The sequence below is a fragment of the Homo sapiens genome, chromosome 6 (assembly GCF_000001405.40).
Source record: "Homo sapiens chromosome 6, GRCh38.p14 Primary Assembly".
NCBI lineage: Eukaryota > Metazoa > Chordata > Mammalia > Primates > Hominidae > Homo > Homo sapiens.
In genome coordinates this window covers 25934655-25956956 of record NC_000006.12, presented here as the reverse complement: position 1 = coordinate 25956956, position 22302 = coordinate 25934655, and the positions used below count along the sequence as shown (strand labels likewise).

Here is a 22302-nt window from a genome sequence, read left to right as displayed (position 1 = left end):
GGCTTCTTAAAATGTAACCTGAAAGACTGGCTCAGGCCATTAAGGGAAGTGGGGGTTGAACATGCCTCATTATTCCTCTCTGGCATTAACATCAACACAGCTTTTAAGTCTGATAAGAAACATTTTACAACCTATTCTCTCTGAAGCCTGCTAGCTAAAAACTTCATCCCATAGTACAACTTTGGTCTTCACAACCTGTTATCACAACCTAGTGCTCCTTTCTATTAATCCCAAATCTTTATACAAACTCAACCAATTGTCATCACCTCCACCCCACTCCTCCGCTGCTTCCAGTTGTCCCGCCTCTCTGGACCAAACCAGTGTACATTTCTTAAACGTATTTGATTGATGTCCCATGCCTCCCTAAAATGTATAAAGCCAAGGTGCATCCCAACCACCTTGAGCGCTTGTTCTCAGGACCTCCTGAGGGCTGTGTCATGGGCCATGGTCACTCAAATTTGGCTCAGAATAAATCTCTTCAAATGTTTTACAGAGTTTGGCTCTTGTCATGACACAGATGACTGCTTCACTGAAGCCTGCTCTGGAAGTGAGTGGGGGTTTTGCAAGGATAATTTTCCCCGGATAGCCCCAGAAGCAGCTAGTAATAATACACTTAAAGGTAGCTAAAATGCATTGAACACTTGTTTTGTGCCAGACCTATGTCAACATTTGCTTTGTGCCAGGCTTATGCCAGTACTCCTGATTTGTTAATACATTCTAAATAAAAATTCTGGAGTTTCAAATATAATAACTGAAAAACAGAAAATAAATAAAAATATATAATAACTGAAATAAAAATTTACTAAGGCTGGGGATGGTGGCTCACTCACACCTGTAATCCTGTTACCGGAAAGGGGTCCGTCCAGATCCAGACCCCAAGAGAGGGTTCTTGGATCTCACACAAGAAAGAATTCGGGCGAGTCTGTAAAGTGAAAGCAAGTTTATTAAGAAAGTAGAGGAATAAAAGAACGGCTACTCCATAGGCAGAGCAGCTCTGAGGGCTGCTGGTCGCTCATTTTTATGGTTATTTCTTGATTATGTGCTAAACAAGGGGTGGATAATTCATGCCTCCATTTTTTAGACCATATAAAGTAACTTCCTGACGTTGCCATGGCATTCGTAAACTGTCGTGGCGCTGGTATGAGCATAGCAGTGAGGACGACCAGAGGTCACTCTCATCGCCATCTTGGATTTGGTGGGGAGCAGTGAGGATGACCAGAGGTCACTCTCATCGCCATCTTGGATTTGGTGGGGTTTAGCCAGCTTCTTTACTTTTTTCTTTTTTTTTTTTGCCCAGGCTGGAGTGCAGTGGCACGATCTCAGCTCACTGAAACCTCCAATTTCTGAGTTCAAGCGATTCTCGTGCCTCAGCCTCCCAAGTAGCTGGGATTACAGGCATGTGCCACCACACCCAGCTAATTTTTTATATTTTTAATAGAGACCGGGTTTCGCCATGTTGCCTACGCTGATCTCCAACTCCTGCGCTCAAGCCATCCAGCCACCTTAGCCTCCCAAAGTGCTGGGCTTATAGGTGTGAGCCACCCCACCTGGCCTAGCCGGCTTCTTTACTGCAACCTGTTTTATCAGCAAGGTCTTTATGACCTGTATTTTGTGCCCACTGCCTGCCTCATCCTGTGGCTTACAATGCCTAACTTACAGGGAATGCAGCCCAGCAGGACTCAGCCTTATTTCACCCAGCTCCTATTCAAGATGGAGTCTTTCTTGTTCAAATACCTCTGACAAGCCCAACACTTTGGGAGGATGACACAGGAGGATTGCTTTAGCCTAGGAGCTCAAGACCAGCCTGGGCAACACAGTGAGACCCCATCTCTAAAAAAAAAAATACAAAAAAATTAGCCAGGCATGATGGTGTGTGCCTGTAGTCCCTGCTACTCAGGAGGCTGAAGTGGGAAGATGGCTTCAGCCCAGGAATTCAAGGCTGCATTGTCAGAGGCATTTGAACCAGAATGACTCTATCTTGAATAGGCGCTGGATAAAATAAGGCTGACACCTGCTAGGCTGCATTTCCAGTATGTTAGGCATTCTTAGTCACAGGATGAGATAGGAAGTCAGCACAAGGTACACATCACAAAGACCTTGCTGATAAAATAGGTTGTGGTAAAGAAGTTGGCCAAAACCCATCAAAACCAACATGGCCACCAAAGGGACCTCTGGTTGTCTTCACTGCTCATTATATGTTAATTATAATGTATTAACATGCTAAAAGACACTCCTACCAGCATCATGACAGCTTACAAATACTGCGGCAATATCTGGACTTTACCTTATATGGTCTAAAAGGTGGAGGAACCCTCAATTTTGGGAATTGTCCACCCCTTTTTTGGAATGCTCATGAATAATCCACCCCTTGTTTAGCACATAATCCAGAAATAACTATAAGTATGCTTATTTGAGCAGACCACGCTGCTGTTCTGCCTACAGAGTAGCCATTCTTTTATTTCCTTACTTTCTTAATAAACCTGCTTTCACTTTACTGTATGGACTTGCCCTAAATTCTTTCTTGTGTGAGATCCAAGAACCCTCTCTTGGGGTCTGGATCAAGACCCCTTTCTGGTAACATCTTTCTGGTGACCACGAAGGGACAATACTGAGGAGACTCTGAAGCCAAAGGAAACAGACTACAGCACCAACTGGCTGACTTTGGGTAAGTGGTGGAGTCCCCGGGTAAAGGATAGGATTGGGTTAGAGGTGCAACTTAGGGGAGATAGGGTCTCTCCTAAGACAGAGAGGGTTTCAGTCCGCTCTTAATAAAGGGCAAGAATGCTTGACCGAACTTGGGTTTGAGACCCAACTTAGGAAGGCTACAGTCCTTAAGATTTAAGGGGTTAGAGGCCCCTCTCAGTAAAGTCTCTCTTGGTTAAAAACGGATTTAGCATTAGGGGATGTTAACTGCTATTCTGTTTGTATTAATCTTCCCTGTGCTCTTTGCTGACAGCTATGGGTGACAGGATTAGGCATGTACAGGATCACGGGACATTGGGAACTTTTCTTCTCTCCAAAAGGGGAAGCTTGACAGCTGATAGGACTGTTGGAAAAGATCCCTTTGCTATGACAAGCAGCCGCCTGAACTTTTGATTCAGTGTTGCTGCAATGGGTGGGTCTTTCTCTGGCCTCTGTGAACTCCTCACCTTCCCCATCTCACCACAGGCAATGCTTTTCTCCCTTTCTCTCTTTTCTCTTTTCTGTCTTTTCTGTTACTTGAGACAACCATCTTGCCCAGAGACCATATGTTGAAACTCCTGGTCAGAAGTTTGATTAAAGATGAAAGGGCCTATCTGGGGGCAAGTTTGAGCCTTCCCAGTTAGATATTGGGTGCTAAGTGGAGTGGCCAATGTCTATGTTTTGTCACATGTATATTGCTCTGGCTGAAATGGAAAACGTTAATTTGGTTACTTTATGTGGCCATTGGGCAGCATCTTACAAAAGTGAGAGACATTTATTTGCCTGTGGTTCCATGAAACAGAAAAAAGTTGGTTTTCTTTTGTGTCGTAGCTTGGACCCAAGGGCTTTGCAGTGAGCAAGGTTGCTAGTGCTGCTCAGTGAAAGAGAACCCAGAAACCTGGCATGCCAGCAAAAGGGTAAAGATTTCTTACCAGTCAGGCTTCTGGCCTCTCTCTCTTAGTGAAAACTGAATGAATGGTAAAAATCACTGTTTATCACCTCTGTAAAGTTTTGATTAATGGGAACAAGGATTTGTGGGGCTAGTCTTAAGCTGTAATGAATCTGGTATACTTTGTGATATCAATTTGTCTTTCTGTATTACTCTGTCATAAAGAGGAATATGGTAGGATAGAACATGGGCTCAGGACTCCATAAGCCTGCTGTTCAAGCCAGCCCAGTAAACTGGTCCGTTGCAAAGTTTATTACAGGTCCCTGGAAAAAAAAAAAAATAAAAACTGGATGAAGTTTCCTTCTCATCTTGTTTTATGTCCTTTGGAGCTTCACCTTGTAACCACGTGGCGGTACTTTCTCTTGGTCTCTGCCATCCAGGGAACAGGAATTTTGGGGTTTATGTAATAGTTAACTCTAAAAATTATCTCAAGCCATTGCAAGCTCAAAATTGGCTGCTCTGGACCCCTTCTGGGAAGGGCAATGGAAACTAACCAGTGTTGTAGCTCAGCAGCTAAGGATTTGTCATTTTATAATGGCGGCCAAGGTTCAATCCTGGCTTAGGGAATGAGTACTTTCTGATTGATATCTGTGTGACCTTTACCATTTGTTGATTCTGTTCTCTTCCCCTCCACACACTGTCTTGAGTTTTCCTCTCTCTGAGAACCTGGGAGATTATCTTTGGTAAAGTTCAAAAGCCAGAAATAATGGCCGTGTGGGATGGCTAAAGTTGAGTAATAAGAAACTTAAAAGGACTCCTTTTTTTTTTGCTTTAGAGTGCTATGGTTTATGGTTAAAAGCTTAATTAAAAGTGGATATTCAATCTCTAAAAGCCTGGGACTCCTTGGGAAAAGCAGAGGAGGCACCACAGACCCCATTTTGGGAAAACCTCTGTTTTCCTCATGAAACCCCAGGAACTGGAAGTGGATAGATCCTTCGCAAAATCTAAGGCTCTGTTTGGCTTTGCATTATGTTATCTGATGTTTTTGACTTTTGGGGGTATCAGAAATTACTTTGCATTATGAGGGAGATCTGGTGTGTAATAACCAGGTAGGAAATATACTTCTGGGGATAGCTAAAGGCAAATATAGGTGAATACTTGGCTATTTGCACTTTTGGATCACAAGAAGCATTCTCTTGACTACCTAGAAGGTATGGAAATGTCTCCATCCCCACCGAGAGATAAGATTCCCAGGGGAGATGGCTGATCCCCCAAAAGAGGGCTGATTCCCTCTTTTGGGATCCAGGATCTGGTATAAAAATGGGACCCTGGCCAGGCACAGTGGCTCACGCCTGTAATCTCAACACTTTGGGAAGCCTCAGAGTTATGAATGTCTCACCATACTGACACTTTGTGACTGAGCTCCTCTCTACCCTGGACACAAGAGACCCTAATAATTAGACAGGAATATCATTGCCCCTATTTAGTCTGAAGAAGTTATAGAAGACGGATCTTTATCCCACTGCAATCCTTAGGATTAAGGGTTCCCTGGTAAAAGGGAGTGGGAAAATATGTCAGAGGCATTTGAATCAGAGTGACTCCATCTTGAATAGGGGCTGGGTAAAATAAGGCTGAGGCCTGCTGGGTTAGGTTAGGCATTCTAACCAGGAGTTTAGTCACAGGATGAGATAGAAGGTTGCACAAGGTACCCGTCACAAAGACCTTGCTGATAAAATAGGTAACGGTAAAGAAGCCAGCTAAAGCCCACCAAAACCAACATGGCCACAAAAGTGACCTCTTGTCATCCTCACTGCTCATATACACTAATTATACTGCATTAGCATGCTACAAGACACTCCCACCAGTGCCACGACAGTTTACAAATACCATGACAACATCTGGACGTTACCTTATATGGTCTAAAACGGGGAAGAACCCTTAGTTCTGGGAATTGTCCACCTCTTTCCTGAAAAATTCTTGAATAATCCATTAGTTTAGCACATAATCCAGAAATAACTATACGTCTGCTTATTTGAGCAGTCCATACTGCTGCTCTGCCTATGGAGTAGCCATTCTTTTCTTTTATTTTTATTTTTTAGATAAAGACTCGCTCTGTCACTCAGGCTGGAGTCTGGAGTGCAGTGACGTGTTTTGGCTCACTGCAACCTTCACCTCCCGGGTTCAAGCAATTCTCCTGCCTCAGCCTCCCAACTAGCTGGGACCACAGGTGGGTGCCACCATGCCTGGCTAATTTTTGTATTATTAGTAGAGATGGGGTTTCGCCATGTTGGCCAGGCTGGTCTCGAACTCCTGGCCTCAAGCGATCCACTTGCCTTGGCCTCCCAAAGTGCTAGGATTACAGGCATTACCCACTATGCATGACCCATTCTTTTATTTCTTAACTTTTTTTTGTTTTTTTGAGACAGAGTCTCACTCTGTCACCCAGGCTAGAGGCTGGAGTGCAGTGGTGCGATCTTGGTTCACTGCAACCTCTGCCTCCTGGGTTCAAGCGATTCTTCTGCCTCAGTCTCCTGAGGAGCTGGGACTACAGACATGTGCCACTACACCCAGCTAATTTTGTATTTTTAGTAGAGACAGTGTCTTGCCATGTTTGTCAGGCTTGTCTCGAACTCCTAACCTCAAGTGGTCTGCCTGCCTCAGCCTCCCAAAGTGCTGTGATTACAGGCATAAATCACTGCGCTCGGCCCTTCTTTACTTTCTTAATAAACTTGTTTTCACTTTACTGTATGGACTAGCCCCAAATTCCTTCTTGTGTGAGATCCAATAACCCTTTTGTGTGTGAAAGAATGTATTGCTGCTGTTCAGGCTGGAGCAAGCTGGAGCTCATGCTGCTGCTCAGACTGGAGCATGCGTGATCTGTGATCCCAGTAAGAGGATCATGGTCACTCCAGCCTGAACGACAGCATGATATCTCATCTGTAAGAAAAAAAAATTACTAGAGGGCTTTAACAGCAAATTTGAGCAGCAAAAAGAAGTAATCAGTGAACTCAAAGATAGGTCAATTGAAATGATCTACTCTGAAAAACAGAAAGAAGACAGAATGAAGAAAAAGAAATAGAGCCTTAGAGACAGGGGATACCATCAAGCATACTAATATATGCATAATGGGACTCCTAGAAGGAGAAAAGTGAGAGGACAGGGAGAGAGAATGTTTGGAGAAATAATTTCTCAAAGCTTCCCATGTTTGGCAAAAAAGCATTAACTTGCATACATATTTTAGGAGCTCAATGAATTCCAAGTAGGATACACTCAAAGAGATCCATACCTAGACACATCATAATCAGATTATCAAAAGATGAAGAAGATGAATCTTGAGAGCAGAAAGAAAGGAACAATTCATCACATACAAATAGTACTCAAAAGATGTCTGGAGTAGGTATACTAATATCAGACAAAATAAACTTTAAGATAAGCATTGTTATAATAAATAAAGAAAGGTATTTTGTAATGATAAAAGTGTCAATTCATCAAGAAAACATAACATTATAAACATACATGCACCTAACAACAGAGCCCTAATATTCATGAAACAAAACTGACAGAATTGAAGGGAGAAATAGAAAATTCGACAATAATAGTTGGAGACATCAATACCTCACTAGTTAGACAAGATCAACAAAAAAATAGAAGACTTAACACTTGAAAACACCTAACCTGACCCTAACATAAATCTATAGGTCACTACACCCCAAAACAGCAGAATAAACATCCTTCTGAAGCTCACATGAAACATTTTTCAGGATAGACTGTATATTACTTCATGAAATAAGTCTCAATAAATGTAAAAGGACTATAATAATAGAGTATATATTCTCTGACCAAAGTGGAATGAAGATAGAAATCAATAACTAGGCTGGGCGTGATGGCTCACGCCTGTAATCCCAGCACTTTGGGAGGCCAAGGCGGACAGATCACGAGGTCAGGAGTTTGAGACCAGCCTGACCAACATGGTGAAACCCTGTCTCTACTAACAAAATACAAAAATTAGCCAGGCCTGGTGGCATCTGCCTGTAGTCCCAGCTACTCGGGACACTGAGGCAGGAGAATCACTTGAACCCAGGAGGCAGAGATTGCAGTGAGCTGAGATCGCGCCACTGCATTCCAGCCTGGGAGACAGAGCGAGACTCCGTCTCAAAATTAAAAAAAAAAAAGAAACTAGAAAAATAAGAACAAATCAAACCCAAAGCAAGCAAGAGGAAAATGAAAAATTTCAAAGCAGCCAAGAACAAAAGGCACATTATGTACAGAAGAACAAGTGTATAGATCACATATTTCTCATAGACACAATATAAGCAAAAAGACAGTGGAGCAAAATTTTTTAGATTAATGAAAGACCTACAATTCTGTACCAAGCAAAAAAACTCCCCCCAAATGAGGGTGAAATAAGACAATTTAATACAGAGAAAAGAGGAAGGAATTTATCTAGTCATATGTGAGAGTTTTATGATACATTTTGTACTGTATATGTGGATGTTTTCTATTTCATTTAAAAAATCAACCGTGCAATTAAATGGTAGATTGTCTTGCTTCTTTTTGATTGACACAGTCATTAACTAAAATATTGTAGTATTTTTTTATCTCCCTGCCTAAAGGCAATAAACATCTAATCAGCAGACTAGAACAATAAAAAATATTTTTTAAAAGTCCTTTAGGCAGAATGATAAAAGTCCCTTAGGCATATTGAAATTCCTATTTATACAAAGGAATAAACAGTACTAGAAATTGTAACTATGTGAGTAAACAGATAATATTTTTTCTCCATAAAATGTGGTTGACTATTTTCACAAAAATAGTTAACAATGTAATGTGTGATTTATAGCATTTAAAAGTAAAACAGGCCGGGCACAAAGGTTCGTGCCTGTAATCCCAGCACTTTTGGAGGCCGAGGCGTGCAGATCACTTGAGGACAGGAGTTCAAGACCAGCCTGGCTAACATGGCAAAACCCCATCTCTACTAAAAATACAAAAATTAACCAGGCGTGGTGGTGCACGCCTGTAATCCCAGCTACTCTGGAGGCTGAGGCACAAGAATCACTTGAATCCAGGAGGTGGAGGTTGCAGTGAGGCAAAATTATACCACTGTGCTCCAGCCTAGGCAACAGAGCTAGACTCTGTCACACACACACACACACACAAAAGAAAAGTGTATGACAACAACAGTGCAAAAGAAGTGGAAATGAAAATAATGTTATTTTATATAAGTGGTATACTTTTAGATGAACTACGATAAATTAATGATGTATACTATAAACTCTAAGGCAACCACTGAAATAATGAAACGAAGAATTATGGCTAACAAGCCACAAAAAGAAATAAAATAGAATGAGAAAAAATATTTAAGTTGTTCAACAGATGGGAAAAAAAAGAGGAAAAAGAGAACAAAGAACAGATGGGACAAATGGGAAAGTAATAGCAAGATGATAGACTTAACTCTACCCATATAGATTATCACACTTAAGGTAAATGATCTAAATACTCTAATACAAAAGCAGAGGTTGTCAGATTGAATTAAAAAAACAGACAACAACAAAAAAAAGCAAAAAAAGAGCCACAACATGCTGCCTACAAAAAATTCACTTTAATATAAAGACACAAATAGTCTAGAACACCATCACTTTTAACCTTATTTACTCAAACCTCCTGATCCCTATTTATTTATTTATTTATTTATTTATTTATTTATTTATTTATTTATTTTTGAGACAGAGTCTGACTCTGTTGCCCAGGCTGGAGTGCAGTGGCACCATCTAGGCTCACTGCAGCCTCTACCTCTCGGGTTCAAGCGATTCTCCTGCCTCAGGCCTCCCAAGTAGCTGGGACTATAGGCACATGCCACCATGCCCAGCTAATTATTATATTTTTAGTAGAGACGGGGTTTTGCCATGTTGGCCAGGTTGGTCTCAAACGCCTGACCTCAGCCTCCCAAAGTGCTGGGATTACAGGCGTGAGCCACAGCACCCAGCTCCTCTTCATTTATTCTTGCTACGCTTCCTCCAATCCATTTTGTGCATTTGATGATTTTGCCAGTAACTTCTTTATTTTTCTGGTAAAATTACTTATGGGTCACTGAGGACTGGGATGTTCTTTCTTCTAGAGGGGGTTTGTGTCTGCTTTTGCCAGGAAGCTGGGGTACCACCAGTCAAGTATTACTTTAAACTCAATTCATGAATTGAGACTTTTTTTTTTTTTTTTTTTTTTACGCAGAGTCCTACTCTGTCACCCAGGCTGGAGTGCAGCGGTGTGAACATGGCTCACTGCAGCCTCAACCTACTGAGCTCAAGCAATCCTTCTGCCTCACCATTCTGTATAGCTAGGACTACAGGTGTGTGCCACCATGCCTGACTAATTTTTTAAATATTTTTTTTAGAGATGGGGCTCACTTTGTTGCCCAGGCCAGTCTCGAGCTCCTGGGCTCAAGTGATCCTCCCACCTTGGTCTCCCAAAGTGCTGGGGTTACAGGCATGAGCCTCTGTGGCTAGCCAAGACTTTTTATTTTTTAGCCTAAATGTGTATAAAAGTTGGCTTGTGGTTACAACTTATCAGGATTGATGATCTCTCTCTCTCTCTCTCTCTCTCTCTGTCTCTCCCCACCTCTCTCACATCCCTTGCTCTGCTGAGAAGCAGAGCAAACATTCTAGCAGTTTCCAGAGAGTAGGATGGGATTACTTCTAGTTTACTTTTATCATCCTTTGGGATCGCAGTATTACTGGGAGAACACAAGTATCTCTTATTAGACATACCACCTTTGTAGAATCTGGACTTTCATTTTAGACTTTATTTGTTTTCTACTATAAGCAATTTAAGTTACAGATCTCTCTACACACTGTTTAAGTTGCATCCCATGAATTTTGATGTGCTTTATTGTCATTATTATATAGTACAATGTATTTTGTAATTTTTTGTGATTTGTTTGGAGAGATTGATTAATTAGAATGATGTTTAATTTCCAAATATGTGTGTTTTTTTCTACATTTCTTATTTTTATTGATTTCAAATTTATTTCTACTGTAGTCAGATTTAATAATTCATTTATTTTTATTATTTTCATTTTTTTAGAGACAGGGCCTTTCTGTGTTGCCCAGGTTTGTCCCAAACTCCTAGTCCCAAGCAGTTCTCCTGCCTCAGCCACCCAAAGTGCTGGGATTATAGGCACGAGCCACCCGTGCACAACCAACAATTCATTTAAAAAGTGGGCAAGTGAACTGAACAGACATTTCTCAAAAGAAGGCATACAATTGGCCAACAAATATATGAAAGAATGCTCAACATCACTGTATTAGTCTGTTTTCATGCTGCTAATAAAGACTTAACCTGAGACTGGGGAATTTACAAGAGAAAGAGGTTTAATGGACTTACAGTTCCACATGGCTGGAGAGATCTCACAATCATGGTGGAAGGCAAGGAGGAGCAAGTCACATCTTACATGGATGGCAGCAGGCAAAGAGAGAGCTTGTGCAGGGAAACTCCCGTTTTTAAAACCATCAGATCTCGTGAGACTCATTCACTATCATAAGAACAGCATAGGAAAGACCCGGCCCATAATTCAGTCACCTCCCACTGGGTTCCTCCCAGGACACATGGGAATTGTGGGAGTTACAATTCAAGATGAGATTTGGGTAGGGACACAGCCAAACCATATAAATAACTAATCATCAGGGAAATGCAAATCAAAACCACAATAAGGTATCATCTCACCCCAGTTAGAATGGCTATTGTCAAAAAAACAAAAAATAACAAATGCTGGTGAGGATGTACAGAAGAGGGGACTCTTATGTCCCACTGGTGGAAATGTCAATTAGCATAGCCATTATGCAAAATAGTATGGAAGTGAGGTAGGTTACATAGGGTGGTCACAGCCTCCCTTGAAAGGAAACAAGAAACTTGTCAAATTGATGGAGAGAACAAATCTCTTGACATTACACAAACTGCATCTGGGGCTAGTGGTTAGAATATCCTCAGTCAAGGAGGTAGAAGAGCAGGAGGGAAAATCCCTAAGTTCGTGCAAGTGCAGAAACCCACAAGCTGTGTTCTCAGGTTGACATATACTCATTTTAATAGTAAGAAACACACCCTTGGGTAGAGAATTAAAATGCTAATAATACATGTGATGTATGTACTAGCGTGTATGGCAATATTGCATGCACATTCAAGAGACCACCCAAAACATATTTAACAACAATGCCCATTCCCACCCCCTCATGGATAATCACGTAGGACTCCCATAACGGGAGTTTCTTCAGTGTCAATTGGTGCTGAAGTAGCCGACCCTGACTCTGCTATCAGCGTGTACTTTCACCTTGCAATAAACTCCTTTGCCTACTTTTACTTTGGACTGGCTTTCAAATTCTTTTGTGCAGGGAATTCAAGAATCTGAACCAGCCTACTGACAACAGAGGTTTCTCAGAAACCTAAAAATAGATCTACCAGATGAGGCTGAAAATCTGCTACTGGCTATTTATCCAAAGGGAAGGAAATCAGTATACAAAGAGACACCTACATCCCCATGTTTATTGCGTCACTCTTCACAAGAGCTGATATATAGAGTCAACCCTAAATGTTCATTAACAGACAAATGGATAGAAAATGTGGCATATATACACAATGAAATACTATTTGGCCATGAGAAGAATGCAATCTTGTCATTTGTGGCAACGTAGATGAAACTGGAGAACATTATGTTAAGTAAGATAAGCTAGGATTGGAAAGATAAATACTACATGTTATCACTCATATGTGAAAGTAGAGAAAAATTTTTAGCTCATGGATTTAGAGAACAGAACTGTGGGTACCGGAAGCTGGGAAGGGTAGCAAGGAGGGGAGGATAGGGAGAGGTTGGTTAATGGTGACAAAATTACAGCTAGATTGTAGAAATGAGTTCCGGTGTTCTGCACCATTGTAGGGTGCATATGGTTAACTCTCATTTATTGTATATTTTCAAAAAGCTAGAAAAGAATTTTGAATACTCACAACAAAATAAATGATAAATGTTTAAGGTGATGGATATACTAATTACTCTGATTTGATTATTACACATTGTGTACACATATAAAAATATCACTCTTTATCCCGTATATATGTACAGTTATTATATGTCAACTAAAAATAAAAGAAAAAAAGAATATGATCTATCATGATGTATATATCATGTGTACTTGAGCAAAATGTGCATGCAGATATTGTGTATAATGTTCTATAAATCAATTAGCTCAAGATAATAGATAGGATTGTTCAGATCTTCTGTGTCTTTACTGATATTTTGTCTAGTTATTGCATCATTACCAAAAAAAGGGTGTTAAACTCTCCAAATGTGATTGTAGAATTGTCTATTTTGTCTTTTCTTTTCCATTTTTACTTTATGTATTTTGAAACTCTGTTATGACATTTTGCTATGTATTTTAAAACTTCGTTATGTATTTTGAAACTCTGTTGTTAGAATCATACATTTATGATTATTATGTTTTCTTGATGAAATGACACTTTTCTATTGTCATTGTTTTTGTTTTTTCTGAAATGGAGTCTCACTCTGTTGCCCAGGCTGGAGTACAGTGGCACAATCTTGGTTCACTGCAACCTCCACCTCCTGGGTTCAAGCGAGTCTCCTGACTCAGCCTCCAAGTAGCTGGGATTACAGGCATGTGCCAGCATGCCAAACTAATTTTGTATTTTTATTAGAGACAGAGTTTCACCACGTTGGCCAGGCTGGTCTCGAACCTCTGACCTCAGGTGATCCGCCCACCTCGGCATTTTTATTTTATTTTATTTTTTTGAGACAGAGTCTCACTCTGTCACCCAGGGTAGAATGCGGTGGTGTGATCTTGGCTCACTGCAACCTCCGCCTCCTGGGTTCAAGCAATTCCCATGCCTCAGCCTCCCGAGTAGCTGGGATTACAGGCACATACCACCATGACTGGCTAATTTTTGTATTTTTAGTAGAGATGGGGTTTTTCTATGTTGGCCAGGCTGGCAACTGACTCCTTTAACAATACAAAATATCACTCTGTCTCTGGTAACACTCTCTGTCTTAAACTCTATTTTAGCTGTTATTATTATAGCCATTTTAGTCTTTTTATGCTTTCTGTTTGCATAGTGTATATATTTTAATATGTTTATTCTCAAGTTATCTGTGTTTTTATATTTAAGATGTTTCTCTTCTAGCCAACGTGTTTGGTTCTTGCATTTTTAAGTCGATTCTAACAATCTTTGCCTTTCAATTGAAATATTTACACCATTAACATCTAACATTAACATTTATTTTTCTTTCCACAGTACACTGGCTAGCATCTCCCATATAATATTGAACATAAAGTGTGATAACTGACATCCTTATTTCATTCCTACTCTGAGTGGAAAGGGCAGGGGTGGAGAAAGCATTCAACAATTTGCCATAATTATAATGCTTTTTGTTACACTGTTTTCTTCTGCATTAAAAAATATCATTACATTTTGCATGAATTATTAGGAGAAAATATTTTCCAATTTTCCTGGAAAATGCCATAACCACGTCTCTCAATTTTGTTTCCATCTTTCTTCCACATTTTACATAACCTACATAAGAGACACATTATCAAGTATATTTTACATGGCTTCTCAGTGTCTTCTCTGTCTGCTAACAGGTTTACCAAGAGATGGCACTCTTGTATTTCTGGTGGCTATGTCCATATCGTTTTGCCTTTAAGACAGCGTAACTACTTCTTTCACCAGTATTAAAGACATGTACATTTGATCTGGTTCTTGTGGATGATTTTAAATGACTCAAGCTAATAATCCTAATTTTACCTAAACACTCCATTATTTTAAAATGTATTCCTTTATGCCCACAATAAACATTTATTGACATTAGGCTGGACATTAGGCTTCTCTATGGCAGACATTAGGCTGGACCCTAGCCATATATCTATTGAGGGAAAAAAAATTATTTTCTATATAAGTTTCCAGAAAGCCAAGATGTGTTTTAAAAACAAAACAAAACATTACATTCTAAATGCTGTAACAAGATAAGAAAAAGTGTTGAGGCTGAGAGAAGAACAAAGCAGCAAGCAACTCCTGGAAGGACCACTGCTGCAGAGGTAATAACTGGTGAACCATGTTTTGGAGAAGGAAAAGGTCACCAAGAGAAGGAGGGGGTCCAGGGTGTTCAGAAAGATTGCATGCATAAAGATCAAGGGTAATAAAAAAAATTCCGTATTATGTAAATGTGAAGTTCCAGGACCATGAGCTTGGAGAGCATGAAGTACAGGAGGAGGGTTGGTTTCAAATAAATCTGGGAATGAAACAGTGAAGCCTCTGGCAGAACTCACATCTCTTTCCTCCCCTCTTCCTTGCACATTCCCTTTATGGAGTAATTGCAGGGATGGGAAAAGTTCAAAACCACCACTGAGCCTAGGAAGTGCTAGGGTAAAGTGGAGAATGAACCTGCGTGATTTGCTCATCCTAAACTAGGTTCTTCTAGGAGAGCCCTTCCCCATAAAATCTGCCCTCCTCGAAGGGGCCCAGACAGCCTAAGCTCACCTCCCAAAGACCCCTTACTTGCTGACTGAATCTGATTCCACCCAGACATGGCCTAAAACCCTTCCATAACTCTATAGCCAAATTCAATTTTAGACAGGCCTCATACCAACCTTTCTTCCTCTAAGTCTGCCACCCTAGGCAATTCTCAACATTCTCTACACACTTTGGGGCCATAGACGTGCTACCAAGTCTCCAGACCTAGACCTGATGGAGCAGTGCTGTAATGAGACGACCACTGGCCTTTGAACCAGACCCTTCTCTGTGGCTCCTATGCATCTCCAACCTGTTTTGAGCACTGCTGCCAAGACATCTTTGGCACTTTGTTGTGAAGTTTTAAAACTGAACTAATCTACAAAACACCTAACCTTTAAAAATTCATTGTCATTTCATATCATGAAAGATAAAGAAAGGCCAGGAAACTGTTCCAGGTTAATAGAGACTAAAGAGATAGCAACCAAATGCAATTTGTGATCCTGGATTGAGGGGAAAAAGTGTTGTCAGAGACATGATTGGGACAGCTGGTAAAATTTGAATTTGAATTTAAAGATAAAGTATTGAGTAATATAGGAAGATGATTATCTGCAACTTTCAAATGTTTCAGTAAGTATATATATATATAAAGAGATATAAAGACATATAAATAAATGGATAGGTAGAGAAAAAGCAAATGTATAATATTAACAATCTAGGTAAAAAGTATATGAGTGTTCTTTGTACTGTTTTTCTGATTTTTCTATATGTTTGAAATCATTTTAAAATAAGAAGGTTTTTGGGTTTTTTTTGTTTGTTTTTTGTTTTTAGAGACAGCATCTTATTCTGTCACCAGGCTGTAGCTCAGTGGCCCAATCATTGCTCACTGCAGCCTCAACTTCCTGGGCTCCAGTAATTCCCCCTACCTCAGGCTCATGAGTAGCTGGTACTTCAGGTGTGCACCACTGCACTCAGCTAATTTTTATTTTTTAAATTTTTGTAGAGATGGCATGTTGCTATGTCACCCAGGCTAGTCTCAAACTCCTGCCCCCAAGTGATCCTCCCACTTTGGCCTCCCAAAGTGCTAGAATTATAGGCATGAGCCACTGCACCCAGCCCCAAATAAAAAAGTATTTTATTTTAATTAACTAATTAACTTTGAGTCAGAGTTTCACCCTTGTCACCCAGGCTGGAGTGCAATGGCATGATGTTGGCTCACTGCAAACTCTGCCTCCTGTGTTTAAGCGATTCTCTTGCCTCAGACTCCTGAGTAGCTGAGATTACAGGTGCCTGCCACCATGCCCAGCTAATTTTTATATTTTTAGTAGAGACGGGGTTTCAGCATGTTGGTCAAGCTTGTCTCAAACTCCTGACCTCAGGTGATCCACCCACCTCCGCCTCCGAAAGTGTTGATGAGCCACCACACCCGGTCTAAAAAGTATTTTAAAACCACAGTCCCACTCTACCTTGTCCTACACTACCAGGGGCTAGGATCACCCCATGTCTTCTAGGCTATGAGATAGAGGAATCCAAGGAAGAAGATAAGCTACTTGGTTCCTCTATAGGGTCTTGTGTGTGCTCTCATGTGCTCTCTCTCTCTCTCTCTCTCTCACACACACACACACACACACACACACACACATGAATACCAGAGCTATCACTTTCCCAGTCTAGTACTCATCTCATCCCAAGGGTTTTGTGTTGTAGTGGTTTGCTCATTTCTTTGTTTTGTTTGTTTGCTTGGATTATTCTTTTTCTCTTTTTGCAGCTGAAGGGAGAATTTCCAGGCCAGCCCTTTGGCCATTAGAGTTACAGTGCCTCTATTCAGGCTTCATAGAGAGACCTGGGATTCAGTAGTGGGGGGCTTTTATCCAGTTCAAAATAATGCATTCTCACCAAGATGTACTTTGAAATAAAACAATACTAAAACACAAAATTTTATTTATGCTGAACATTGAATCACTTTTTTCTGTATTTTGTGTAGAAAGTTATACACACACAAACACATTTGCTCCTGCTTTGTTTATTGGCCCAGGGGTATGTTTGGTAATACTTCATCAGGCATGAGTAGTACGTCTTGGAAGGTGTGGTCTAAAGCCTAGACTCCTATCTGCTTCCTTCAGCATTCTCCAGTGTATCTGTCATCTGTCTACCTTAGGATAGGGGTCTCCAGAACTTCCATTCACATTTAGAAGAGGGCAGCGGCTTTCTATGGAAAATATGAACTCTCATTCATCTCTATTCCTTCTTCTAGCTATGGTCCAGCTCAGCTGTTTGGAATAAAGTATCTATATGAAGTCTGCGAATGGTTCTCAGACTGGTTGAACATTAGAATCACCTGAGTACCTTCTAAAATTCTTATTACCCAGGGCATATCTCAGAATGAGTACCGCAGGGTAGGGATAGGATTAGGGATCATGATCTCTGGAGTCTGGTTTAGGCACTAGTGCTGTTTAAAACTACGTTCATGAGGTGGAGGTTGCAGTGAGCCGAGATGGCGCCACTGCACTCCAACCTGGGCGACAGAGTGAGAGTCTGTCTCAACAAAACAAAACAAAAAAAACCAACTACCCTTGTGATTTGAATGTCCATCCAAAATTGAGAACCATTAGGTAAGGCCAAGCTGTATAATTAAAGAGCAGTTTTCATTTGTCTGGTGTGGTGGCAGCTTTTTGATAAGGGAAGTATTGTTGCCATCCACATACCTGAGCCTCACTCCTGAGAACACTGGTGTGTATGTTGCTAAAATTCCCCAGGTGATTCTGAGGTTCCTTCCTGGATAAAAACCACTGACCCTGGGAATGTACCCACTGCCAATCTCCTGCGTAAACCTTGGATACTGGGAAGCCTACAGTTGAAAATATTGGGCTTGAGATCCTGAAACAAATCTTGTATTTCATTAAGACTAATATTTGGTACAGTGCAGCAAATCAAGGGAATTTTGGTGGCTGAGTTCTTTTAGAACTTTTGCATTGAAATAGGTTCAAGCAGCAATAAGTTAAAACTACAACCTCAGCTAAAGGATTAAAAGACACGTGAGCTGGGTAGGATGAGGTCTAAGGTTGGGTGTGGCGGCTCATACCTGTAATCCCAGCACTTTGGGAGACTGAGGTGGGTGGATCACTTGAGGTCAGGAGTTCAAAACCAGCCTGGCCAACATGGTGAAAACCCATCTCTACTAAGAATACAAAAAAATTAGCTGGGCGAGGTGCCAGGCACCTGTAATCCCAGCTACTGGGGAGGCTGAGGGAGGACAATCACTTGAACTCAGGAGGCAGAGGTTGTAGTGAGCTGAGATCGCACCACTGCACTCCAGCCTGGGTGACAGAGCAAGACTCCATTTAAAAAAAAAATAATAATAATAACAATAATAATAATTCAGACATATCCAGGCATCAAACAGATACCTGGGGCAGATGAATAGTCTTGAGATTCAAGTCACACATGAAATTTAGGTGGAAAATGACATTGGAGAAATTTGAGATTATGATGAATGGAAATTTTTCAAAGAGGAATTTCAGGCTCTGTTCTTGAGGGGATAGATGGACTTCCAACAGCAATAACACAGGATTAATGAGGACTTGGGATGTTACATAAATTAGAGATGTTAGATGGATAAAGAGATAAAAGTACTCTCTCTAAGAACATGGGACCAGAGATAGGCTCACTTCTAACCATCAGATATAACTAGCAGACTAAACGGTCTAAAAATAAAAATCATGCCCCACTCCTGCTTAAGACATTTTAATTACTCTCAGTAACTCTTCAGTTTTTCTACTGTGTTATCTTTAACTACAGGGTTGGTCTGGGTGTGCAACACAAGAAAGCCTGGCATATACATGGATTCAAGTGTATGCCATGTGCAGGTATTCTTTCATGTACTATTTCATGTATTCTTTTTCACATCTGTTTTTTCCTTCATTGAAGTCAATGGCTGATATTAGATTCTACTATTCATGTGTACTAGTTATATATAATTGTTACAAAACAAATTAGCAAAAACTTAGTGGCTTAAAGCAACACACATTTATTATTACCTAAGGTCTGTGGATAGAAGTTCTGACATGGCTTAACTGGGTTCCCTGCTTCAAGCCTCATGTGGCTGCAATCCAGGTGTTGGCTGAGTCTGAATTCTCATCAGAGGCTTGATTGTGGAAATTTCCACTTCCAAGCTCCCTCAGGTTTGTTGAAAAATTCAGTTCTTTGCACCGGTAGAAGCTTCTTGGTAGAGGCTGATTCAACTTCTAGAGGCTGTCTGCAGTTCCTGTCACCCAGGGTGGAGTGCAGTGGAGCAATCATAGCTCACTGCAGCCTTGACCTCCCAGAATCAATCTGTTCTCCCACCTCAGCATCCTGAGTAGCTGGGACCACAAGTGTGTGCCATCACACCTGCCTAAAAAACAAACAAACGAAAAAAAACCCCCAGAGAACTTTGTAGAGACAAGCTGGTCTGGAACTCCTGCGCTCAAGCAATTCTCCTGCCTTAGCCTAAAAGTTCTGGGATTATAGGTATAAGCCACCATACCTGGCATATGGCAAGTCTTGAGCAGGACAAATACAGATGATTTATGTCTGTCTTCCATGGTATTCTAGGTTATTGTTGAGATGGTCCTCTATTGTCTTGTTCCATCTATTGATTAGATAAAACGTTGTTCCTTCTGTTATTTTTCAACAGTAGCTTTTATGTGTCTCTCTTTATCTTAAAATTCTAACCAAAGAGCTGCTCTTTTCTTGGTGTACTTTACCTTTGGTTGATCCTTCTTAACCTCTTCTTGCCCTCTGGGGCCTAAGATGAGGGCTGTTATCAGATGTGAGTCTATGGGAAAGCAAGCAAGAGGTTCTTCAGCCTCCGTTCAGCCTTAAATGTCTAGGTAGAAATCAGTCATGGCCCTTCCAATGTGGTACAGACCAGATCACAGAGACAGGGGTCTCAGCCAAGGTCTTGTGGCCTAAGCCTTATAGAAATAATGAGTGTTTACTTACTTGGAGAACTCCCTTGGAATATCTTTTTTTGTGAACCTGAGGCAACTTTTGGTGATTTCTTGATGTCTTGGGAATCTTGGTCTAGAGCCATTTCAACCCGATTTCTTTTCATGTCAGTGGCATTTTGTGACCAGATAGTAAATAAGTTCTATGATGTTCACTCAGAGAAATACAATGACTTATGATGCGAAGCTTCTGTGGTTCAGCCCTTACTTCATCTTCATTCCCTCTTATCTGCATCTGTCTCCTGCTTGGGAACAAAAGTCTGGCTTCATTCTATGACCCCCACGTTGAGTTTCTTAGTAGCACTTACTTTTCAATTAGGAGTGTCCTCACTTCTATCCGTCAGACATAACTAGCCGACTAAACAGTCTAAATATAAAAATCATGTCCTACTCCTGCTGAAAACATTTTAATTACTCCCCATCATTTAATTTTTTCTACTGGGTTATCTTTAACTTCAGAGTTGGTCTTGTGTGCAACACAAGAAAACCTGGCATATACATGGATTCAAGTGTATGCCACGTGCATGTATTCCTTCATGTACTATTTCATGTATTCTTTTTCACATCTGTTTTTTCCTCTAAAATTTATTTCCTTTTAAAAATGAAAATTTTGCATTTGACTAAATTTGTCAAATTTAGTCAAATTTGTTTAAAACCATTTTTAAAATGTTTCCCGAAGTTTTGAGTGAAGTTAGTACTTCAGAAAAACTGTTTTGTATTTTTCCTGTGACCTCAGTGCACTGCTGTGCATTTCCATTTCTGCGTCCACACACATTTGTTTTGAGGAAATATAGGAACGACAAGATAAAGTTCAAGCTCCTGGACATTGCATAAAAGACCGTCATGACCTGGTCCTGTTGACTTCCCTAGATTTCCCGCTATTTCCTAAGTTGAGATTTTTGGTTTGGATGCTTTGTGTTTTCCTAAAATCAAAATAGGTTTTTGCCTTTTATGATTATACAGTAAATAAATGCTATTTGTGTGAAACTTTAAACAATACAAAAAAAACCTAAGGAAGAAAGTCAGATTCATCTAAAAATCCTTGTGGCCAGAATTAACTACCTTAGTTACTATTTTCTCTATCTCTCTCTCTCAATGTATATTTGGTGTAGGTATAGGGGTGTGTGTAGTGTGTGTGTATGTATATATCTGTTTCTATTCCTGTATGTGGATGTGCACAACGCATCCTGCTTTGTACACTACAGTACTAGCATTTTTCTAATGTAATTCAATATTGTTGAAAACATTTTAAAAAAGCTTGTATATATACACACACATACACATACATGCATGTATGTACATATACACATACAGACAAAAATGTATCCTATGTATATTCACACATGTATACACACTCACACATACATAGAGTTTTACATCCATAGTTTATAAATGTTGCTTTTTTTTGGTCACCTTTTTGCTAAGTCTTACACTTTTTTTTTTTTTTTTTGAGACGGAGTTTTGTTGTCATTGCCCAGGCTTAGTGCAGTAGCGCGATCTCACCTCACTGCAACCTCGACCTCCCGGGTTCAAGCGGTTCTCCTGCCTTAGCCTCCTGAGTAGCTGGTACTACAGGTGTGCGCCACCATGCCTGGCTAATTTTTGTAGTTTTTTTATAGAGACGAGGTTTCACCATGTTGGCCAAGCTGGTCTGGAACTCCTGACCTCAAGTGATCTGCCTGCCTCAGATTCCCAAAGTTCTGGGATTACAGATGTGAGCCACTGCACCCGGCCAAGTCTTACACATCTTTTTTTTACCACTAAACTGTTTACCCAAACCTGATAACCCAAGTCAACAGCTATTATGGCTCACACAATCTTATGTAAACAAAGATACAGATATATAGAATTTTCTTGATTAATATTCAGAAAAAAATGGAGTCCCTTTATACGTCCTTAGTATCTGCTTTACTCATTTAAAAATGTATTACATTATATGAAAGTATTCAGGTCAAATGTTATAGATGTGATTCATTCTTTTTAACTGTGTTATTTTTCTGCAATGACTATGTATCACAAAGTACTCAGTCTTCCACTGATGAAAATTTGGGCTATTTCCAGTTTGTCTTCCATTTTTCTTTCTTCCTCTTGGATTTTCACTCAATGTGTTTACTAATTTAGGAAGAATCAATAGTTTTTATGGTATTACTTCTCCCATTCAAGAATATAGCATATGGTATAGTATAGTAGAGTACTTAGTTTAATTTAGCCAGATCCTGTTTTCTGCCCTTTAATAAAATTCTA

At 40.3% G+C, this 22302-nt stretch overlaps 1 annotated feature.

Moving 5' to 3' along the window:
* Positions 11288 to 11347: an enhancer, noted in NCBI's record as "active region_24170". NCBI's record gives its function as "activates an Ori minimal core promoter by ATAC-STARR-seq in GM12878 lymphoblastoid cells {active_cell/tissue: GM12878}" and the evidence as "EXISTENCE:reporter gene assay evidence [ECO:0000049][PMID:35858748]".